This window comes from Homo sapiens, chromosome 9 (assembly GCF_000001405.40).
Source record: "Homo sapiens chromosome 9, GRCh38.p14 Primary Assembly".
In the NCBI taxonomy this organism is placed as follows: Eukaryota; Metazoa; Chordata; class Mammalia; order Primates; family Hominidae; genus Homo; species Homo sapiens.
The window spans coordinates 83,004,236-83,029,125 of NC_000009.12; the positions used below are offsets into that span (position 1 = coordinate 83,004,236).

General features: G+C 39.5%; 1 protein-coding gene across 5 annotated transcripts in view; it reads right to left on the reverse strand.

Moving 5' to 3' along the window:
* The window catches only part of RASEF (RAS and EF-hand domain containing), a 239,635-nt gene that overhangs the window by 24,646 nt on the left and 190,099 nt on the right, over window positions 1–24,890 (reverse strand). For 3 of the 5 annotated variants that reach the window (XM_047422827.1, NM_152573.4, XM_005251731.5), the window contains 8 exons: window positions 21,540–21,686; window positions 18,101–18,191; window positions 11,570–11,665; window positions 8,199–8,276; window positions 5,406–5,521; window positions 3,202–3,270; window positions 1,181–1,265; window positions 263–351 (listed from right to left, as the gene is read on the reverse strand). In XM_047422827.1, coding sequence (XP_047278783.1) covers window positions 263–351; window positions 1,181–1,265; window positions 3,202–3,270; window positions 5,406–5,521; window positions 8,199–8,276; window positions 11,570–11,665; window positions 18,101–18,191; window positions 21,540–21,568 — 653 coding nt within the window. In that variant the 5' untranslated portion in view covers window positions 21,569–21,686. The remainder of the gene's footprint in view (window positions 1–262; window positions 352–1,180; window positions 1,266–3,201; window positions 3,271–5,405; window positions 5,522–8,198; window positions 8,277–11,569; window positions 11,666–18,100; window positions 18,192–21,539; window positions 21,687–24,890) is intronic. The other 2 variants (XM_005251730.5, XM_047422826.1) reach the window with 1 other exon arrangement.

Consider the following 24,890-nt stretch of genomic DNA (forward strand, 5'->3'; position numbering starts at 1 on the left):
CTAAGAAACAAGACATGATTAGAGATGAGGTAATGATGAGCATATATAAAACTAACTCATAACATCTTCAGGAAATAACTTTGCCCTCTCTGAAACACTTTTAATTTTTACATGATTCATGTTTCAGAACTTTTAACATCATAGAAAATATAAATTAGTGACCAAAGTATATTCTATTATTTTAATCCACCTCCAAGGAAATTTACTTTCCTTTTAACTGTGATTCTGAACTTGAACAGAAAGTTAAGACGAGTTAACATACCTGTCATAGCCTAGAGGTTGAGGGGAATGACCAATGAATTTGGGACTGCTTCTAGAAATTGTATTCCCTGGTGAGATATTATTTATATGCTGTAATATAGAAGTAATCATTTGTTAGTTCATGTAATTTTCATGTAAACATTTTATATACACATAGGTACACACAAACCCATTTTTTAAAACTGTAGCACACTACTCAAACTTCTAATGTAACTAAAAGTTTGTTACACTACCTGAGCAAATGTGAGCAAAAAATCAAGGGAAACATTGCAACGAAGATGACTGCCATAGTACGCTCTCCTCCTCATCCTATCTTACGTCCAAACCCTACTGCATATTCCATAAAGGAGTACTATGGTTCCCCACTTTGCCAGGATCCTGCAACTCAACTTCCTTGAATGTGTCTCTTCTTGAACCATAATTTGGCTTAGTGACTGACTCCTCCATATCCCAATACGACCCTGGAATCTTACACATGAAGCTGACTTCCAAAAGTGGGATAAGAGGTCTTATGACAAATGCAGTCTGGGAGAGGTCCTTAAAGTTCCAAATGAGCTAAGCTGATTTCTGTAGGAGGGTTTGAAATCCAAGGCTCCCATTCTGAGCATCTCACTGGCATAAAGAATACTCACAAGTCTAAACTCTTTCAGGCCAAAGATCCCATCTTACACACCTATCTCTAGATTCCTAGAACATCTATAAAAAGAGTTGGTTAACATTGAGACACTTATTTCTTCAGAGGAGTAGCATATTTTTTAATTTGGAAAAATGCTGCCTCGTTTTATTTTATGGAAAGATCTTCTCATTATTATAAGGACTTACTTGAGGCTCTCCTTTAAGAAATTACATTATTTTCATCAACACCAAAATACTCCACCACTAGAAAGAATGAAATACATGGTAAAACTATGTGGCATACCAAAGATCTGTTGAACTTGCTATAACTGTTTTCAAGGGCACTTCTAAGGCCATCATTACTGTCATGTAGCTTCCGGTTAGCTGTTCTGCAGGGTAAAGAAACAAGCAGAAAGAGAGACAAGGAAAGTATCATTGGGGGTCACTGTCATCACTTTCTTTTCTAGCTGTAACATTCAGAATGTGGAATAGCTTATCATCTTCTGCAACTTTCCACCACTTCCCTTCAAACCTCAAAAACTGAGATAATTCATTACTTAAAGTACAAGAACTAAATTGATTACTCCTCTCTCTTTAAAGGTCTCAGGGCCTTGCAGGAATCAACTGTCTATGCTGTGGAACTCACTCTTCCTTAAGGTAGCCCCGCTGATTGAACAGATTTCATGCAGGTCTTTCAAAGCTCCCTAAATGCCTGAACCTGGCCAGCCAGTTACCACATTTCAGAGGTCAGGGATGAACGCAGTGTGTTATATCAGGCTTCATGCTCCTGGCAGCTCCTGCATTCTATGCACAGCCTGGCACTGTTCCACCAGGTACCGTCGTGTAGCAGGTAAACACTTGGGTGATGATCTCAGTCAGGTCTGGGTTCAAATCCTAACTCTTATTTCCATATGACTTAACAGAAGTCATTCAAGCTGTCAGAGCTTCAGCGCCCTCTTGTACAGCAAAGCTATGATTCCACAGCTCCTACACCACAGAGTGGCTAACCTTCCCCAGCTTAAGGCTGGTTCACCCTTCGCATCTTAGCTCAATCCTCACTTCCTCCAGAACACTTCCTTGACCTTCTTTGATAGGCCAATGCTCCCCTTAGGGGACATGTACCTTTCTTTTGCTGCATCTCTCTTGTTTGGCCTTTTATATTTATTTCTATGATTATTGATCCATTTCTGTCTTCTTCCCCTAAACTAGCCCCATAAGGGGAAAGAGATTTTTCACCCACTTCCCACTCTATCCTTTGCTCCTGGCATACCTGGCCTGTAAGAGGTGCTGACAAATCTGTTGAATGAATGAATAAATAAAATAACTTGAAGGATTACTGAAATACATGAACTCTACAACTGCCACAGGTGAGACTTAATAAGCATTCAAAAATGGTGAAAAAAAAAAAGGTCAAACCTGACCTGACTTCATTGAGGGGAACTGAAACCAGAAGACAATGCAGCATGGGTAGAAAAGAAAGGGGAAGGAGAGGGGTAGGTTTTGTGGGGAAGACCTTCAGAGGATGGAACTGCTATAACCTAGTCATAAAGCTGACAGAGTGGGTATATTTCTACTTGGGGAGAGGGAAAAAAACCTAAGAAAAATATACTTCTAAGTAAACAAAACAAACTGAGAAAGAATTGTGGAGGCAGAACCCTGTGGCCCCACTAACAAGAGAAGCCTCAAAAACTCAGGGTACGGGCCGGGCGTGGTGGCTCATGCCTGTCATCCCAGCACTTTGGGAGGCCGAGGCGGGAGGATCACAAAGTCAGGAGATCGAGACCATCCTGGCTAACAAGGTAAAATGCCGTCTCTACTAAAAAAATACAAAAATTAGCTGGGCCTGGTGGCGGGTGCCTGTAGTCCCAGCTACTCAGGAGGCTGAGGCAGAAGAATGGCATGAACCCAGGAAGCAGAGCTTGCAGTGAGCCGAGATTGCACCACTGCACTTCAGCCTGGGTGACAGGGCAAGACTCTGTCTCAAAAAAAAAAAAAAAAACTCACGGTACAGAACTCAGAGAAAGCTGAGTGCTCAGGGCCATTTTTCTTTATAGAGGCATAATAAAGACACACTGGACATATCCCCTGACTTCCCAAGATGTTTAGAGATTTATACTCTATTCCCACATCTGAATAATTTATTTAGGATTATAAGCATCAGAAAGCTAAGAGGAGATGCCAAGTGCACACCCTGAGAAGAAACACCCACTGACCTGCAAACCCAGTGTTCAGAACATGGCAACTCACGTTCTATGTGTTATGTCTTTTATTAACTAAAAAACAAGTGAAATGTAAATGTAATGAGCATTTGATCTGCGGACTTACTGGAGTATTTCAATTTGCCTCTCAAGACTATTTCGATCTTCTGTGTATGCTCGGATTATTTCCAGATCCCTGTAAAATTGTATTTTATGTTTGAGTGAGAATTAGGTGTCAAGTCCTGCCTCACGTATACCTACCCTCCCAGACCCTTTCCCACCTTTTTCAAAGACGAGTGTCCTTGGCCACAGTTTTCTATCTTTCCCGTGCTCCTGCTCTGGGCCTCTGTGGCCTCAGCAGCCTCCTCTCCTTCTGCGACTCCACAAACACACTCACATCCTGTGCTTTCTCCTGTGAGTCTCTGCCCCGCCTCCGACATCACAAGCCTAGAGCTTCTCCTCCTCAGCCCATCTCAGCAACCACCAGCTCTTCCATCCCCATGCTCGCTGACCCAGCTCTGTTCTCCACGAGGGCTGAACCTCCTGAGTCTCTTCTAAGGGTGTCTCAGAAACTGTGCCTTCAATCCTCTGAACCTTCCCTGCTCATCTAAAGCCTTATATAATCCCAACTCCATCTATTTTCTCCTTTCCTGTGATTCCTTCCTCTTTCCATCTCACACTACTCCTGCTCTCCCTCCTCTCCTTACCTAAACCACAGAGATCCCCAAAGAACCAGGCTTGCTAAGCTCGTGAGACACTCATTCTGTGGCAATCCCTCTGTTGCTTTATGATGGAAGCTCTGGCTTCTTCCCCAAACTGCTCAGAACACTGGCCCTCTCCTCCAGCCCCTATTCCCCTGAGCATACAAACCTCATCACTAGCTTCCCAAAATGCCCAGGCTATCAAGTTTGGTTCACAATAACCTGTCCATCTGCTCCCTGGATGATAAAAGTACACATTTCCTAATTGTCTATAGGAATTTAAGTTCCTTAAACCAAAATTCGGGGGCCTTCTATGATAACCTTAAACTAGCTTTTAAACTTTTTAATTTTTTTTTTAAACTTTTGCTTTTCTATTCAAAATGTCTCTTTCTGCCCTGTGGTCTGACCACCTTTCCCCAAGCCGTATCCTTCCCTATGTTCTGGTCCCTGCTTTGGTTACTGCCTTACCTGGAACATCTCTGAGACTCTCTTTTCCCATCTGTAAAATGGACATAATGAAGGTCCCTGTCTCACCAGATGTTCTGTGGACTGGATCAGTTAATGCTTGCGAAGGACCAGGACAGTGCCTGGCAGGCAGCAGTGCCACCAGCTCTGAGTTGCTGATGTTGCCATCCTGGCTGCCTCTCTCCCCTTTCCCAGCACAGAGCTATCTTTCTACCTAGGCTCACCTCCAGCATCACCTCTTCAATACAGTTCTTCACCTCTTCTGAACTAAAACAAAACCTTTTCTGTGATCACACAGCAATTAACCCAAACCATGACTACGTTAGTGGCACTACTTCTGATATTTTTTAGCTCTTCTGTTGTTAAACCCTATAATCTTTTTGCTTTTTTTCCCAACTAAATTTGAAGTTCTCATCATATATATATATATATATATATATATATATATATATATATATATGACGTGGGCTCTGTGTTTTGAGATTATAAATATATATATACTCTCCACTCATAACTCCTTATCTAGTTCAGAGACTTGTATGTAGTAAACGATAATATTTCACTGTTTTCTCTTGTAAGACCTTAATTCTGATTAAAGTTTGCAAACAAACCCAAAAAAAGATATTTTTCCCAAGTGTACATGTCCTAGGGGATACACACATATACACATATCTATGCATTTTATATTTACCATCCATATAAAAATATACATGTCTATGTTCCTTATATATAAATACGTGTCTGTGAATGTATGTATGTGTATTAGGTTTTATGGTATTAACACCATACTGCAAAACTAACACACACGAAAATAGACTTGCCTACTTTTCCCTTTCTTATGTTTTATGGCCAGGATTCCTGACTTCAAAACACTTTAATAAGTACTAACCCTTGACACTGTGGTATATTCTTTTAGCTCCCAGTTAATTCAAACATTTATTAAGCCCTGCACTAGCCAAAACAGACAATAATTATTCTATTTGCTTAAAAAATTAAAAACATAAAAAACACTAGGAAACCTGATACTGAAAATAAAATCATTAGAAAGTAAAGAAGATATTAGCAAAGTTACTAACTCTTCATTATTCCATAGCTGAGCTTCTTTTGCCTGGATGATCATCTCAATATTCTACTCAAACTAACAAATAAAATGCAAAGTTCATACCTTTCAGTATTCAGACTCTGATCAGCATAATCACTTTTCAAAGCATCTAACTCACTCTGAAGAAAGGCTATGTTTGTCTGTGCTTCTAAAAGGTCTTTCTTAACTTTCTGGTTTTCCTGGATAAAATGAAAAGTGGGGGTCATTAGATTCAGATTTTCCTCTGCCTGGGAGAAATGAAGTAAAGTGTCCTGTCACCCTCCCACACCACTCTCACCCTTCCACAACTCTTCAAAATCTCAGTGTTCAAACAACTATTTGTCAATTCAAGGTAATTTGAAATCAATATAAATTAATAAAGTGTCAAAAATCAAAACCCTCAAAGTCATTCTTCATTTTTTTATGCTTGATATTTGACACCAAACTACAACAGTCAAGGGTTTATCATGATGTATTTCAACACATTATTGGCAAATTAACTGACACCAACCATTCGAATGCTTGCTTTATTTAATGAGCGCTTTAAAATTATTGATAAACATTTTGTGGAATCAACAGTACCTATTACCAGGTACACTGGCTACTTTTTACAAATAAATTCCATCACTTAATATTTTAAGTTTTACACTTAAAAATAAACCAGTGTGATTTGAAAATTTCTGTATTTTCTTAAAATAATATTGGAGACATTCGTTCAAGATGGTGGATGGAGCACATGAATTTGTCTTTTTCCCCTTCCAAAACCTCACTAAAATGAAATGCCAAAGGAAATGAACCAATAACAGTTAAAAGAATGGAAGAGCAGCCCAGAGCATTCAAGTGACTTAAATGCACTTCTAGAAAGTGGAAACTGATGGAAATGTGTTGCCAAAGGGAACAGAGTGGGGAAATGGAAGATTAGAGGAAGTGTGTTTAAGGTTTTGACACAGAATCCAGAAGGAGACAAGTGACCGGGCCGAACCCCAGAAAGACAGAACCAGATATGGGGTTGGAAAGAGAGATTAAAACTGTATAGTAAGCCACCCTTCCCACCAAGCCCATTCCCTATCTTACCCTAGCAAGTAACAGCAGAGAGCCAGAGTGGATTCTGAAGACAAGGCAGAGATTATCTTTTTAAAACTAAGTGGCTCCTGTAAAAAAAGCTAAGGCTTCTCTCTGAATATCCCTGCCCCACTCACACCGGTAACTGGGGTCCCCTGCCAGCTTCACACACAGAGCTCCTTGGAAGACACTCTCTCGGGAGAAAGGCCTTCAGGTGAGCATATCTGTTCACACCGTCCCACAGGATCCTACACCAGCTACCTTAAGTGACCAAGCTAGTCCTTCATTTTAAAATATGAACAGATCACCAACAACTGCCAGGTAGTTGAAAAAAAATGGTACCTAGAAATAATTAAATTAATAAATCACAGAGGAGTCCCAAAAAAGCCTATTTATCTAAACAAACTTAATAAATTGTGAGGGGGAATGTAGACATTCTCAAATATTCAAAAACAGAAAATTTCTCTCTCACATGTTCTTTCTGAAGAAGTTTCTTGAGGATGTGCTATGCCGAAATGAGGATGAAACCCTCTCCTCCCAAAAAATTGTAATATGCAAAATGCTGCAATTCAGTGAAAGGCCTAGTGAAAAGAAATTGCAGAACATATGGGTGGCAAGTTTAAAAAACAATCAGTCCAATAAGAACTGAAATTTTGCCAGGTGCGGTGGCTCACGCCTATAATCCCAGCACTTTGGGAGGCCAAAGCGGGTGATCATGAGGTCAAGAGATTGAGACCACCCTGGCCAACACGGTGAAACCCTGTCTCTATTAAAACTCAAAAATTTAGCGGGGCGTGGTGGTGCGCATCTATAGTTCCAGCTACTTGGGAGGCTGAGGCAGGAGAATCACTTGAACCCAGGAGATGGAGGTTGCAGTGAGCCAAGATCGTGCCACTGTAGTCCAGCCTGGTGACAGAGCAAGACTCCATCTCAAAAAAAAAAAAAAAAAAAAAAAAAACTGAAATTTTATAGACTCCAAAATTAATATTTTCAAGGAGAAAAACTAAACAAATTTCATGCATTGGAAAGACTAAATAAGTCTTAAGGTATCAGTGATATCATGAAAATGGTAGTGCTTTTTGCAAGAAGAAACCAAAAAAATCAACCAGAAAATCCAAGAAAAACAAATAACTCTACAAGAATGTCATTATCCAAATACAAAGCCTACTAAGATGTGGAAAAATCTGGAACTAGGAATTCATTTGACCATGAAGCTGGGAACCTTCTAAGTGGATCAGAGATAATAAATGGAGAGAAAGAAATGCAAGCCTCACTCATTTCTTAGCTCTGCAGTGAAAATATTTAGAATCATAAGAAAGAAAATGCTCTTTATCTGCTTTCAAATTTGAGAGTTAATCTAAAACCAAACTAAATAAAACTCATAACAGAAGATATGTAAATGTTACCAATTTTGTTAGTACTAAAAGTAGATGTGGCTGGCGTAAGATGGAAAAGCGACAGAAAAAAAAAAAACTTGGAGGAAGGGGCAAGGCACTAATATCCTCATCACTAAGCCAGGAATACAGACCAGAGCTGATGTTGGAAGAACACAGGGTTAACTGTGTTACATAAAATGTAAGCACTAGGTCTTTATTACTTTGTATGAAAAATAAGTAAAAGCTTTCACAATAAGTGGCATATTATTGAGGGAAAAGCCTGCATAAATAGTATCTTTGATCAAAGTTATTTTAAGGACTTTTTCTAACTACAGTATTAACTTCCCTTTAAGCTGCTCTTCCTGGAACACTGAAATAAGAGCATGAGGATGTGGTCTAACAGGAAGTGCATTTCTGTAAGTGAAAAGGTAATTCTTACCATTGATAAATCATAAATTTGTTTTTTCAATGCAGCCACATCTTCCTTTTGACTTACGCGTTTTGATTGTTCTTCGAGCTGAAAGACCAAATAAAAGTTGTGTGCTTACAAACTCACTTTGAATTGCTTTGGTTAAGTTTAGGACTATCCTTGAATATACATATGAGAATTCTAGAAGTCACCAATTTTCAACATTATGCAACTTCATAAATCATTAAACTACATAAAATCCATAAGGATTTGAAATTTTGTTCTAAATAATTTAAACATTTGAAAAAGGGGTTTTGTTGTGAAATGAACTTTTTTGGAAACAGCTGAAAAGCCTTTTTTGGAAATCATTCAACTATTAAGCAATCCAGTTCTTGCTTTTTTCAGTTATGCTACATTAGAATCTGGATCTTTTTATTCTCCTTCGTATTATCTGCATTTAACACTTTCCATTCTGTATTACAATTATTTAGAAATGTCTTACCTTCCCTGCTACAGAGCAAGATTTTTTAAGAGCAGAATTAGTGTCAGATTCACCTATGTTTTCTTCATGGTGAGTTTAAGAAATGCTTATTAAATAACTAAAATCAATAAAATCTGAGTATAACAGGAAGCTAGAGACACAAACACACTTGATTATATATACCTACATTTAAGCTTTGCTTGATGATTAACTCATTTCTACATGAGCTTTGCTTGCTGGTTGACTCATTTCTATTGCAACTACAAACTCGTTACAATTACCAGACTAAATTGGTTCCACACATTTATAACCTGGAGAACAACAACAACAACAACAACAACAAAATGCCTTTCCTACAAACAGCTTACATCCTCTGGGAATGGTAGGGATCTGTTGGTATTCATTATTGGAATGTTTATGCACTGATCAAAATGGATCCCACATTTCACGAAGTCTAAGTGCTTTGATTCTGGACCTTCTTCACCTTGCCAGATGCTATAAAGGGATAGTGTTTACATAACAACGTCATGACTGCCACGAGGCTGACTCTGACTGAGAAAAGCCATCGATTTAAACACGCATTTTGACTTCAGAGAAGAAAAACCATCGGGAAAAAATGAGTTTCTCAGAATCAAGGACACAGTTAGTGGCAATTGTAACAAATTTGTAAACTATAGCCCTTAATGCACTCTCAAATAAACATCTTGCTGTTTTGCATAACAACCACATCAGGCATGCAGGAAGTCTGGAATAAGTGAGAAAGCACAAACTGTGTAGTAAGATGGCTTCATCAGTTATTAGCTGTGTGACTCTGAACAAGTTAGTTAACCTCCCTGGAACTCAGTCCTCATCTCTAAAAGTAGGATATTTATACCTTCCTCAGAGAAAGTTTAAGAATTTGATTTTTTAAATCATGAAAAAGAGCTTAGTGAACTGCAAAGTCAATAAAATGTCAGTCATTATGGTTAGGAAAGACAGTTTTTTAATAATTGCATTTTATAGATCAGAAACTAAAAATCAGAAAGATGATGTGAACTATCCGAGGTGCTTCAGGGAAAAATGGGTACAGTTTTGACAAGGATTCAGGTCTCCTGACACATGGGCTTTCTTACTGTTCAGACCACTTGGGCCTCATCAGTCGCTGCATCTCTTCTTGTAGACATTCCTTTAAAGATTTGGGAAGCCACAGAAATAAGTCAGGGCAGTGACTCAGTGAATTTGTGGCTCTAGCATAAACAGAAGATTCGTCTGTTCAATTCTGTAATGTAAGCATAGTATGCATGGCCTAATAACTTTTGAAAATTAGATATAAGGTTCAAATTGATATTCATTTTCTAAGGAGGCTACTGGGGAGAATTCTTAATCATCCCAGAGGTTTAAATTGCAATAGTGTATAAAATACAAAATATAGCTAATTGCCACTTAGTCTCATCACCACTTTCAGAGATGATTTTTTATTTTTTTTTAAGATACTGACATAATCATGGCTCACTGCAGCCTTCCTCTCCCAGCTTCAAGTGATCCTTCCACCCCAGCCTCCTGAGTCACTGGGACTACAGGCATGTGCTACCACATGCAGTTAATTTTTAAAATTTATTTATTTATTTATTTTTGCAGTGGTGGGATCTCAACTATGTCACCCAGGCTGGTCTTGACCTCCTGAGCACAAGCAATCCTCCTGCCTCAGCTTTCCAAAGTATTAGGTTTACAGACATGAGCCACCATGCCCAGCAAGGATGATCCTTTTTTAATTATCCATTTTCATTTTAGCTAACACATCCCCATTAGTTATGGGAAAAACAAAAACAGATCCAAGAAGTGTGTCTAGTACAGTGCCGGAGCCAGCCTGTACCAGCAGGTGAGAGTCTGCTTTAAGCATCTCTTCTCAACCTTAAATTCAGTAACATCAACTTGGTAGCATGAAATCAGTAATGACAGGAGTATTTATACCATGGAAATCAACAAATGATACACATCCCTCCCTTCCCCTCCACCCACTATAGAGCCACCTGTTAAACAACTGCCAGAGTATTACTGAGTAAAACAACCTGCTCATTAGAAACCAAATAGAGGAAAAGCCAAAAACCAACCACATTAAACAAACAAACAAACAAACTAATCACATCTTTGCTCACACTTCAACAAGTTCTGCTCTTCTTCAAAAACTAGTGACTCTTGGTGATCAGGGTACCCTAGATCTGGAATTTTCTACTTAGAAGAGCAATATTCATTTCATTTAATAAATATTCCCTGAATACTTACCATGCACTTTGCAATAAGCTAGGGGTAGGGACACGGGGATATTTGACATGACCAAGAAAAACAGTCATGAAGCATGCAGTCTACCAGACACAAGGGACTTGAGAGTACTAAGCTGGTGAAGACCAAGGAAAGCAAACTGAAGTTTTATGGACAATGGTTGAAGGGATCAGAAAATAATTATTAAATCTATGCAAAAGACAGGTGGCCCCTGGAAACAGAAGAGGAACTCAGGGGCCCTTAAAAGGTCTTTCAGGCTGGGCACAGTGGCTCACGCCTGTAATCCCAACACTTTGGGAGGCTGAAGTGGGTGGATCACCTGAGGTCAGGAGTTTGAGACCAGCCTGGCCGACATGGTGAAACCCGCCTCTACTAAAAACACAAAAATTAGCTGGGCATGGTGGTGCATGCCTATAATCCCAGCTACTCAGGAGGCTGAGACAGGAGAATCATTTGAATCCAGGAGGCGGAGGTTGCAGTGAGCCAAGATCTTGCCACTGCACTCCAGCCTGGGTGACAGAGCAAGACTCAGTCTCAAAACAAATCTGAAATCTGATCTATCCGCCACTTCAATAGGATTCCAAATGTTTTTGGTTGTTAATGGCTTAGATACCCTGAGATGCTGAGGCTGTTCCTACAAGTCCAGCTGCCACATGCCTACCTTTCTTAGCTTTTTAATGGTCACCTGCAGATCTCCTACTTCAGTTTCATACTGACGTCTGAGGTCACTGAGGGCTTCCTCAGCTTTGCGTTTTTCCTAAAAGAAAAAAAAATATGTTGTTCATTTAAATAAGTTCACCCTCTTAACCTTCAAAACCCCACAGGTGAGAAACATTTTGTGTCAAATTAAGGCTGACTTCAGTTCTCCTACACAGGGAAGGTGAGAAAGGATATCAGAAGGAAACCAATTGACTTCAGATGTACCACAATTTTGGAACTGAAACCTACAAAACTGAAAGAAGAGCAGGATCCCACAACCTACATACACACCTCACCCGGGAGTGACACCTCTAAGACTATTACTCACATTGTGATAGAGACCATAGCACATCAATCAATTAAGTAATTATTGCTATAATTAGTTAAAAGACATGGCACAGTGACCGGAATCCTATCATGTCATCAGGACTCAAGAAGGCATCCTGGGTGAACCCTTTTCCCTAGAGATGATGTCTTATCTAAATCCCAATTACATCACTGCAAATTTCTATGCAAAGTGCCTCCCTGTGGCCTGGTACTTCTCGGGGGTGTCCCTTCAAGTTCTTCTGGAGCAGAGAATGGCAGTAAGGCACCCCAGGTCAGGGGATTGCCATTCAGAAGCTCCCACTGGCTGAAACATCTCTAAATTTACTTTTCTTTTAATAAATGATACAATTTTATATTTTACCTTCAGTATTCAAATAGTTTTATGTTGACAGCCAGTAAAATTCAGTGTACAAATATTCGCTTATCACCTACCAATGGTTCTAAGGGACTGGGGACATGGGGACAGAGAGGGGGATAATAAAACTGATGTTCTCAGGCATTCTAGCAGAGAAGACAGAAAAAGGCAATTTCAGGAAATAATACAAAAAAAGAAAAAACAGGGAGATGTGACAGGAAGTCAGTCTGCTAGAGAGTAAGGTAGGGCCTCTCTGCAGCATGCTCCCACATCTGAATACCTGCCAGAGGTAGCGTGTCTTACTGCCCACTCATTGGCTGTGGAGCTGGGCAAGTTGCTAAACTTATCCATGCCTCCATTTTCTTTTTAACTACTGTGAGGATTAAATTAATTAATCCATATAAATTAAATAATCCATGTGAAATGCTTGGCAGAAAAGCAACATCTTCCCTAAAGGTAACGTTTTTAAAAGGGGCTATCTTGACTTCATCCAGCTTTACAGGTGAGGCAACAATTTCTGCCTGCCTCACATGTGGATGAAGACACAGAGGCCTCACAATGAGGTGCTAATGAGGCAGCCTTCCTGGCCTCAAAATGGACTTGACTGCAAGTCCCTTCATTAGATCCACAGCCACAAAACCAAACATAAACATTTTAGGGTTTAGAAATACTTTATCCAGGCCAGGCATGGTGGCTCATGACTGTAATCCCAACACTCTGGGAGGCCGAGGCGGGTGGATCACGAGGTCAGGAGACTGAGACCATCCTGGCTAACACGGTGAAACCTCGTCTCTACTAAAAAAAAAAAAAAAAAAAAAGAAAGAAATTAGCCGGGTGTGGTGGCAGGCGCCTGTTGTCCCAGCTACTCGGGAGGCTGAGGCAGGAGAATGGCGTGAACCCGGGAGGTGGAGCCTGCAGTGAGCCGAGATCGCGCCACAGCACTCCAGCCTGGGCGACAGAGCGAGACTCTGTCTCAAAAAAAAAAAGAAGTACTTTATCCAGAGTTCAATAAAGGAAATGATCACTAGCCTATTTCATTCCCAACCTGCGACAGGTAGATGCTGAGAGATCAGATAAGAGATTGTTACAGTAATGCAGGTGAGAAATGGTAGTGGTTCAGATCAACTCTTCACAAACTTCCAGTAAACTGGAATGGAGGGAATACGTCCCAACTCATTCTAGGAGACCAGAATTTGCCTGACGCCAAAATAAGACAAAAGCATTAAAAGTACAAACCAATATCTCTTCCACATATGAATGCAAAAATATTAAGTAAAATTTAGCAAACTGAATTCAACAATCTATAGAAAGGATAATACATCATAACTAATTAGGGCCTAGCTCAAGTGCAAGTTTGTTTTAATATTCAAAAATCAATCAATGTAATTTGCCACATTAACATTCTAAAAAAGAAAAAAACATGATCATGAGACAGAAAAAGTATTTGAGAAAATCCAACATCCATTCCTGACTAAAACAACAGCAACAACAATAATACTCAGCCAACTAGGAACAGAAGGGACTCTACTGCATTTATAAAGGCATCTGTGAACACTACACTACTAACATCACATTCAATGTTCTCATCTCCTTTATTCTTCTTACCAGTGCAATAAGGCAAGAAAAATAAAAAGCTTCATTCAAATTGGAAAGAAAAATAAAATGTTTTTATTAATATATTTCATAATCATCCTAGAAAATGACAAAATCTACCAACAAAAAGGCACTGCATATAAACAATGTAAGCAATGCTACAGAATACGAGACCAATCTCAAAAATCAAATGTATTTCTATACATTCACAATGAACAATCAGAAATTGAAATTTTTAGAAATACTATTTACAGTATCATCAAACTATGACATACTGAGTATATCTAAGATGTACAAGATCTGTACAGTGAATAACACAAAACATTGCTGAAAGAAGACATAGAGAGAGAAATCATATTTTCAATACTGTTGTCAATTCTCTCCAAATTGATCTATAGACGCAATGAAGTTCAGTCAAACTCCCTGCAGACTTTTAGTTTTTGTTTGCTTTTTTTTTTAAAAGAAATTGAAAGGCTGATTCTTTGAAAACTAAAGCAATTAAAATAGGCAAAACAACTTTTAAAAAAGCACAAAGTTGAAGAAGAACTAATACTAGTTGATTTCAAGACTTATTATAAACCAATAGGTATGAAGACATACTATAAACCAATAGGTATCAAGACTTATAAACCAACAGGTATCAAGACATTATAAACCAATAGGTATCAAGACAATGTAATATTGGCATAACAATAGACAAATCAATCAATGGAACAGAACAGAGAGCCCAGAAATAAACCTACACAAATAGAATAAACTGATTTTGGATAAAGTGCAGAGGCAATTCAGTGGAAAATGGTTAGTCTTGTTTAATAAAGGTGTGGGAACAATTGGATATCTACATAAAAAAAATATGAACATTGATCCATATCTTGGCACCAAATACAAAATGGATCCTGAATTTAACCTAAAACAATAAAGCTTATAGAAGAAAACACAGGGGAAAATCTTGAGTTAAAGATTTTTAAAGATCACATGAAAAGTATGGTCCATGAAAAAAAGTATGGTCCATAAAAAATTAAAAATTTATACTCTTACTGTTAGGAGAATGAAAAGACAGGTCACGGTGTGGGTGAAAATATTTATAGATCAGGTATCTGATAAAAGACTTGCATTCAGAATATAAAAGAACTCTCAAAACATAGTAATTTTTTAAAAAAAACTGTATTTGTAATGAGCCAAAGATTTTTAATAAGATACTTCAGCAAAAAATATATATATATACACATGGCAGATAAACCCACGAAAAGATCCTCCACACAACTAGTCATTAGAGAGATGCAAGTTAAAACCACAGTGAGATTCCTCTACACACCGATTAGAATGCTGAAAGAATGGGACTCTCATACACTGCTGATTGAATCATACAACTGTACAACCACTCTGGAAATCAGGTTTGCAGTATCTTACAAAAATCCACATTCATCTACATAGATGATCAACCCATTCCACTCCAGGAATTTACTCAAGAGGAATAAAAGTATATGCCTCTATAAAGACTTGTACATGCATATTCATGGCACCTTAATTTGCAATAGCCAACAACTGGAAATAACTCAAATGTCCTTCTACAGATGAATGGCTAAACACTGTGGTACCCCTACGTAATAGAATACTACTTGGCAATGAAAAAGAACAAACTATTAATTACACGGATAAGTCTCAAAACAATTATGTTGAGTGGAAAACGCCAGAGAAGAAATAGCATATATTGCATGATTCCACTTCTATACAGTTCTGAAAACTTCAAACTAATCTACAGCGACAGAAAATAGAACAATGATTATCTGGCAAAAAGGGGCAAAGAAAGGAGGAAGGAAGGCTTGTTATGCCTTCAAGGGGCATGAAGAAACTTCGAGGGTGGATAGTTATGCCCATGATCTTGCCTGTGGGAATGGTTTCATGGTGCATACATATGTCCAAACTTCACATATACTGTACTTTATATGCAGTTTATTGCCTGCCAGTTATACCTTCATAAAGCTGTTACAGTTAAAAAAAAATACTAACTGAAGTAATGCAATATATGCTATATATGCCATAGGAGTCAAGGACAGGAAGAGGTGAATGTGGCTACAGGAGCAGGGCAGGGCATCAAGAAGAAAGTGAGGGTTCCTCTGAGCTTTGCAGAATTTGGGAAGAAGGAAAGGAGTGAAGAGATAATCATCAAGACAAAGAAAACAGCTGGAGCCAAAGCAGGGTCAGGCACAGTGAGGCCACTGGGCCAGGGCTGGGGGCGAAGAACCCTGGGGAGCCGAGGGGAGCCATGTGGAATGGAAGGAAATGAGGGAAAAATCTTAGACTGGCCTGGGCACATTATTCCAGAGAGGCTGTGTTTAGAAAGGTGTGAGGCGGACACTAGGATGGACAGGCAAACAAGTTTCCTCGCAGTGCCAAAGCTGCTCAGCTGGCAGTGACGTCCTGGACTGGCGTGCTGAGGTGTGGAGACCACATGTATGTGGTGACTGACAGGCCACATGTGTCATTGCTGTGGAATAGAGAAATGATGCTGTGGATGCATGGGTTTGCCACTACCGGACTGAAGCCAAGGAAACTAAAGAAGATCCTGTAATTAACAAAACATGAAATTCTAAAAGGTGGGGGCCATGGTAATATCCCCATTACCAGCAACAAATTTGGGAGGCATTTATCTGGAAGAAGCAATGAGATATGATGACAGAATAACACGTGCTTGATAAGTGTTTGATGAATGAATTTGTGCACAGATTAAACACAGCAGATGGAGAGAAAAAAAGGCAGAAAAATGATTTCACTCTTTCCTTTTTACCAAAAGGAAAGTGCTAGCTGAAGAAGGGGTTATCCATTGCTCTGAAGCTGGACCATGAACCTTAAACCATTTATGTGGTTGAAAATGACGTCCAGCTTCTTATTAAACTTTTTATAAGAAGATAGGACAACAAAGACACCCCAGGGCATATATGTGGTAAAGCCATTTAAGGTGAAGAATCTAAAAGGAATCAGGAATACACAGAGCCACAGGAAAAAGCAGGACAGTAACAACCAGGGTGCAGCCACTACATTGCAGGCACCGTGCTAGGCACTTTATATAGATCATCATGTCTAACCCCTGTGAAGGCAGGTAGGTTGCATTATCCCATTTTAGAGATGGAATAACAAAGGCTCAGAGGTTGGGTTATTTTCCCAATGCCACCTAGATACAATCTGGGCCAGGATGCAAACTAAGGTCTCCCAGATGCCAATGTTCAGGCCACTTGTACATTATTTTGCTGCCACTCAGTGTTAACAGGGCAAATTAATAAACAAAAGTGGAAGTTTTAACCTAGCATTGTCTATTTTCTGTTTTCAATAAACATTAATCACCCAAAAATATTTTATAAAAAAATTATTTCTTCAATGGAAATCACTGAAGGTAACATATCACTTTCAACTTTAAATGGTTCCTATAATGCTGAATAAAGGCATACAATCAGCCCTTCATATCCACAAGTTCTGCATCTGCGAATTCAACCACTAAAGACCGAAAATATTTTAAGCAGTAAAAGTGATGCAGATAAAAATACAGTGTAACAGCTCTTTACAAAGCATTTACATTGTGTTAAATATTAGGTATTATAAGTAATCCAGAGATGATTTAAAGTATACTAGAGGATATACATAGGTTGTATGTAAATATACACCATTTATATAAAAACTTGAGCATGCAGATTTTGGTATGCGGGGTTGCAGGGGAGTCCTGGAACCAATCCCCTTGGGTACCAAGTGATGACTGTATTCCATTATAAAACACCAAAGTTTGAAGACAGAATTTTAATTTCACTCTAATCTAGATTTAAAGTGGGCAGCAGGTGTGGGCAGACACAGGTATGGAAAGTCAAGCCACCTTCTCTATGAAGGCTGCCTCTGCCTTCTCCTAAGGCCTCATCTCTGATGTTACCCCTTCAAAGAGGCCTCTTACCCCCAACCTAAGCAGCCTCCTCCCCCAGTCACTATGGCACATGTTATTTCTTTACTGCACTTGTCACTATCTGAACTTATTTGCTTTGCTTATTTATTATTTCTACTTCTTCTTACCCCATCCCCAAAAACCACCACCAGTAAAAATTCCTTTGCTGGGAGACTCTGCAGAAACCTGGACTTGCTGTACCCCTGCATGACACCCAGAAGAGTGCCTGGGCCCTCTCCGTAGAAACCACCTCATAAAGATCTGCTGAATGAATGGCCAACCCAGAAACTCACGTCTTTCCGTGTCTTATGTTCTGCAGCCTGAATCCTCTGATCCATTTCCTCTTCCAACTCACTCAACTGCATAGCTGCCTTGTCCTGGGCTCTGAAATTCAAAAGGATGCACACCTTTTCATTATACTCTTGAACTTGAAACATGAAGAGAAACTTCAGATTCATCTACGTTAAGCCCTATATATTACAGATGAAGAGAAACACCCCATTCAAAATGATTTCCCATTCCTTCTACATAATAAAATGAGATTGGCAATTCGACCATTTTGGTGTAAAATGATTTTAAAACTAGATACAGTTATGCATTCCTTAACAACTAGTATACATTATGAGAAATGTGTCTTTAGGAGATTTTTGTCATTGTGTAAGCATCATAAAGAGTATTTACACCAACCCAGCTGGTAAAGCCTACTTCACACCTAGGCTATATGGAATAGCATATTGCTCCTAGGCTGGAAACCTGAACAGCATGGGACTGTACTGAATACTGGAAGTAACTGTAACACAATGGTATTTATGTATCTAAACACAGAATAGATACAGTAAAAGTATAGGATTATATTCTTATGGGACCACTGTCATTTAGGTAATCCTTTATTGACCAAAACATTGTGATGTGGTACCTGACTATATTAAATAAATTAATAAATTGGATAAAATGATATTAAACTAGATTGTGGCAAACAGTAAAGATATCAAAGTGCTGGGAGGCTCTCAATAAATTCTGAATTTTTTTTTGCTCTCATGACTGAGTTACAACCCTGGATTAAAAAAAGAACTCTGTGGCAAAGTGATGGTTATATATAATTTTGAAATTTCACTATATAAAACTCACAATGTTATATGTTAAAGTGAGAAGGGAAAAAAAGATCTCAATCATTATTCTTATTTGTCCCCTAAAGTTCTAGAATGTAGATAAGGTTACCTTTTAGAAAAATTATGTTTCTGTTAGGAGTGCAATTATAAATCACATCTCTATGGAGACAGAGCACATTGATTTGCATCTAAACCATGAGCTTTAGAGGTGATTCATTCGGACAAATGACATGCTATTAATAAATGACAGGGCTTAAATATAAGATTTTCTGTCTTCTAGTTTGATGGGTCTCTGCTATAGCAACTTACCTGCTTTTGACTTATTTACTCCCTCACACAACACAATTTATTCATGCATTGGTTCAACTTCCACATAAAACTCCAAGGAAGTATTATGGGAGGAAAAAGACCCCAAAGTAAAATTTTCAGTAACATTATTATCTTCTGTTCCTATTTACTTCTTCCTCATCTTATAGCCTGTCCGAGGTTATGTTAACCAAGCTTGGGAAGTCAGTTCATTTCTGCTTATAAATACCTGCTATTTGAAGTCTAGAAACTGTGTATCTCCATAGCAATGTCTGGCGGTTTTTTGGTCAACTCTGGGACTGTAAATGGCTAAGGCACATATCCTTTCTCCCTCTGTTATGATAATTTCCCACCTACTTCTTCTAGCTATCCAATCCCAAGCATCTGGGACTGCTCCGTAATGGACTCTCTCTGCCCTTTTCACTTCTGAGCAACATTTTTCTTCTTTTGTAAATCAGGGTGATGCATAATCACAGAGTGCTTGCCCCAGCAATTTCCAATTTCTGGTGAAATGTCTGCCCACTGTGACCTAGTCCGGGGCTCCCTCCAGGACACTGGGAACCCCTTCTTCAGGTGCAGTGCAGAACAAAATGGCCAAAACCCTCCCCCAATTAAAAATAGCAGTGAGGATGGATGGCTAAGCATGCAAGGAATGGTTTACAAGTAGCCATTTAAACACTTCCTGAGGTCTTTGGTAGCTAAGAAAGGAGGCTTTAGGAGACTTCAGCTCAGCATAGAGGCTGGCTCTGGATCCCTCCAGCAGCACAGAAGGGAGTGGATGGGGACACCAACACAGCTCAAATTAATATGATGTACTCACTCCACCATGAAAAAGCAGCCTAGCTGGTAATGAGAACATCAAGCATGCCAGTCTGTTTTTTTCCTCATAGGTTTACATGGTATTATCTTTAGATGGGGGGCATGTGTATGCATGTGTACCCACATATCTCTGTGTGGGTCTGTGTATGTGTACCTATGTGTGTACCTATGAGTTTGTCTGTTTTAATACTTATTGGATGCTCTGAAGAATCAATGTGTGTGTCTGCCTGTCCCATCTCAAAGGAGACCAACTCTGGGACTCTGACCCACACTCCAGAATGCTCTACAGACTCTGGAGTTCTGAGGACCACCCTTTATCCTCCTGGAAGGCCCCTAGAAGGCTAATTTGAGAGAAAAATGGTCAGTCAAGTACTAAAAATGTTCATAAGAAATCCCTTGTGAATAGATCAACCTTGGCTTGACTCCAGGACGATAAGAAAGGTCCTATTTCATACCAAGAATTTAAAATATTTTCTTTTCTACATCGTAATGAACCAAAGGTTCAACTAGACAGTTTCAGCATCATGTGGATGGGAAGGATAAAGAGACAGCAGAATTGAAGACAAGTCACCCGCCCCTATGTAGACAGGGCAGCCTCCTATTAAAAGGGCTGCATCTATAAGCTCCAGGCAGAAACCAGCAGGGTGCACAGCGTCTTGGGAGCTCTTGGTGGAGCACACGACAGCAAGGAGCATCCGTGTGGCACAACACACAAGAACTGTGACAAGCACAATGCCCTCTCTTTCCCAATACATGCTAAAGGAATGCAGTTTTTCCAGGGGGCAAAGAGGCTGACGTTTGGACTGCAACACATATAAATTGTTTTTTTTGCATGACATAGCTGTTAACACCAAAAAGATATCCTATGTAAGCTAGCTATGGCTTAAATGGACTGTATTAGAGTAAGAGTTTAATAGTTCTTTGGCTTTCAGTTCAAAGGGGGAGGGCCAAGTGAGGAGGGCTAGAGAGTAGAGAGAGTCAAAGCAGCACTGCTGAGCACCCACCATGTGGTGGGCAGTGTGCAGGGCTCACCCATGACATCATCCACTAAGTCTTAACACCTGGAGGACGTGAAGATATTCATCCTCATTTTGCAGTTGCAGGAATTGAGACTCAGGGAAATTAAGTAACCTGCTCACAAAGTCTCATACATGTAGGTAACAAGGCCAGGCTTCAAATAGTGTTCCATCTACTTCTCTAGATAAAAGTTTCCTGTGTGTTTTAAGCAGCTGGATGTAAGATAAATCTCTTAATTGTTCTGTATCAAGTCATCATTGATCCTGAAGAGTTTATATAATAGGATCATGATGATCTACTGATTGATTGGTAGCTGACCTACTTCTCCATTGCTGGCTTAATTTTGAAAGCTCTAGACTCCTCAGGCTCAGGAAGTCCACCTATATCATAGTGTGACAATGCAGTTCAGTCCATTTGCCACCCAGGTCAGAGAGCAAGTTAAAGCACCCACAGGCCACTTATAAAGGAAGGACTTCAATACCTCTTCACCGCAATGGCCAAATTTTCCATTTCTGTGCTTTGAAGTCTGATCTCACGGATGAAGTTCTTTATAACATGTTCATATGGCTGAATTAATCTTGGCTCCACAAGGTTGATGTTTTGGTACAAGGTACTAACTTGCTCTTCTCTGCCAAATAAATAAATAAAAATTAAACCAATTATAAAATTTTAAAGGCAACTCTGCAGGGGGCTTTTAAGAAAGAGAAACATAAATGAAGAACTAAGGAAAGAAAAACCAGCAATCACAGAATGAACGGAAGGAAGGGAAGACAGCAGTCAGGAGATATGGTTGGATTTTTCCCCACAATAGGAGATGGGGCCTGCGAGGACAGTGAAAATGCACAGCAAGGGACTAATAAGGAAGGATTTTGTTGTTGTTCCTGCTGTGTATTTTTTAATTTTAATAGAAAGATATATAAATTTACAGAAAAATTAGGTAACATTAAATCAGTTACTTAATTCCATGTTTCATCCACCCCTGATAAGACATGTTTCAGCCTTTATCGTCATAACAGTGGGTGTATTAGTCCATTTTCACACTGCTATAAAGAAATACCCAAGACTGGGTAATTTATACATAAAAGAGCTTTTAACTGACTCACAGTTCCACATGACTGGGAGGCCTCAGGAAACTTACAAACATGGCAGAAGGGGAAGCAAGGATCTTCTTCACATGGTGACAGGAGAGAGAAGAGTGAGGAGTGAAGGAGGAAGAGCTCCTCCTTAAACCATCAGATCTCCTGAGAACTCTTTCACTATCACGAGAACAGTACGGGGGAAACCGCCCACATGATCCAAGCACCTCCCAACAGCTCTCTCCCTAGACACATGGGGATTATGGGGATAACCATTCAAGATGAGATCTGAGTGGGGACACAGCCAAACCACAGCAATGAATATACCTATTATGTTACGGTCAGCTAAAAGTAACTTCATATAAATTCACATTTTTATATATATTTGCATTGATGTCAGTCACAATTCTCTTGACACCAAATGTGTGGATTTTTTCCTCATACCAACCAATTCTCCAACATTTCAGATACCAACTGAGTGTCCAACAATCCAATTTCATTCTGACACTACCCAGAGTCAGCACAGACCCCACAGGTTAAGAGATCAGTCCCACAAGACTGCTCCCCACTTAGATACCAGTCACAAGTTCCAGGTTGCCACGTACACTTCTGACCAATCACCTATAAATCAGGGGTTCCCGTGACCCCCTCTTCAGTTCCATACTTTGCTTAAATGGCTCACAGAACTCAGGAAAACACTTGACTTAGGTTTACCAGTTTATCATAAAGAATATAACTCAGGATGGCCAAATGGAAGAGATGCTTTGGGCAAGGTATGGAAGCAGAGTGTGGGTGCACAGAACAACACCCTCCCAGCTCCTCAGTATGTTCATCAACCCAGCAGTTCTCCAAACACTATTGTTTTGGGGGTTTTATGGTGATTGCACTGCACAGACATGAGAGATTACATCACTGGCCAATGGTGATTACCTCAATCTTCAGCTTCTCTCTCCTCCCCAGAGGTCAGGGATGGGGCTGAAAGTTCCAACCTTCTAATCACGTCAGTCTTTCTTAATCTTAATCATGTTCAGCCCCCATCCTGAAGGTCTAGGGGTCCCCAGCTACCAGCCTTCTCACTACCATACAAAAGACACTCATCATTCTGGAGATTCCAAAGGTTTTAGGAGCTGTATTCCAGGAAGATGGGACAAAGACCAACTACATATTTCTTATTGTATCACACTATTTATTTGTGACAGTCCTCATAGTTATTATTTAAAATCTTTTACTAAAAGATAAACATTTTCAGAGGTATTTCAAAAGAAAAATTAACCAGATTCAGTAGCTGATCTGAAAGAGGATAAAGGAACTAGTTGGTGAGGGTGGTGGTGTCCGTGACTCACAGTTTAAGAGCTGATTCACCGACAGGAATGTAGCATGATGTATGAATAATATACCCTTTGTGTCTAGTTAATGAAGCCTGTGTAACTCATCTGCTATGGATGGATGCTATAGCCAGGTGTAGACTTAATAAGCCCACTATTCCCCAGCGTATCCATGCTTCTCCGGATTGATGGGCTGCATATTGGCCTCCTTGGACAGCTTATATCAGAGACTGCAATCTGGCCTTCTTCTTCTGATCCTAGTGGATCCCTGCTTGCTAGTATTTAACAAAGGCTGTGACCGGGTTGTGACAGTAGCAACACTTTTTAAAGCAAAGAACATTTATACCAGTTGAAACAAGAAATACCAAAAATTTTGAGAACAGTCAATTCTTTGGGCATGAGATGATAACTTACCATAATACCAGCATCAAATAATTCTATCAATTCTCATTAAGTCCAGAAATGTTGGGGATAGCTAATAATTGCAGGAAAGCCAATCACTTTGACACACTGCCTGATTTAAAAATCACCTCCAACGTTTGGATAATTCTTATGTTTGGTGATCTGGTTCTGTGATTTTACAGTTTCTCCCCTGACAATGCACAACAACTTCTGTCTCCTGCCCCTGACATGGAGAGATTACTCTTCTCCAGGTGCTCGTCTAGTTTTTGGGCAGGCCACTCCAGGAACCAAGAAGTCTGAGAGCATTTCACAGCCATCTATGGTGTGACACCAAAGCAACAGCCACAGAAGACCACTCAGAAATCCTGAGCACAAAATTCATACCCACCCACTTGATCAACATTCCTTGGGCTTTTGCCCTATTACTCTGTTGAAGGCAGCATTTTAAGATGCTATGAGGGCGCAAGAAAGATGACAATAATCCTAGGCCTCAGTAACTGAAAAGCCATGCAGACAGCCATCTCACAATTGGAAAAGAAGACAGTCAGATAGAATACAATTTATAATTGTAATAAAAATAGTTATACGTAGCGAGTAGTCACCATATTCCTGGTAATGTGTAAGGAAATGTATATGCATCCTCTCTTCAAATGCTCACCACAACATCATGAAGTACCTTTATTATCCCAGTACTTCAGAATGTGACTATATTTGGAAATGGGTCTTTAAAGAGGTAAATAAGTTAAAATGCGGTCATTAGAATAGCTCCTAATCCAATCTTACTGGTCACCTTATAAAAAGAGATAGGAACCCAGACATACACACAGAGAAGATCATGTAAAGACACAGGAAAAGACAGCCATCTGCAAGTCAAGGAGACAGGCCCCAGAAGAAACCAACCCTGCTGATACAGTCATATCAGACTTCTAGCCTCCAGAACTGTGAGAAAATAAACTTGTGTTGTTTAAGCCACCCAGTTTGTGATGCTTGTTACCACAAATACCTAGGCAGCCCTAGCAAACAAATACC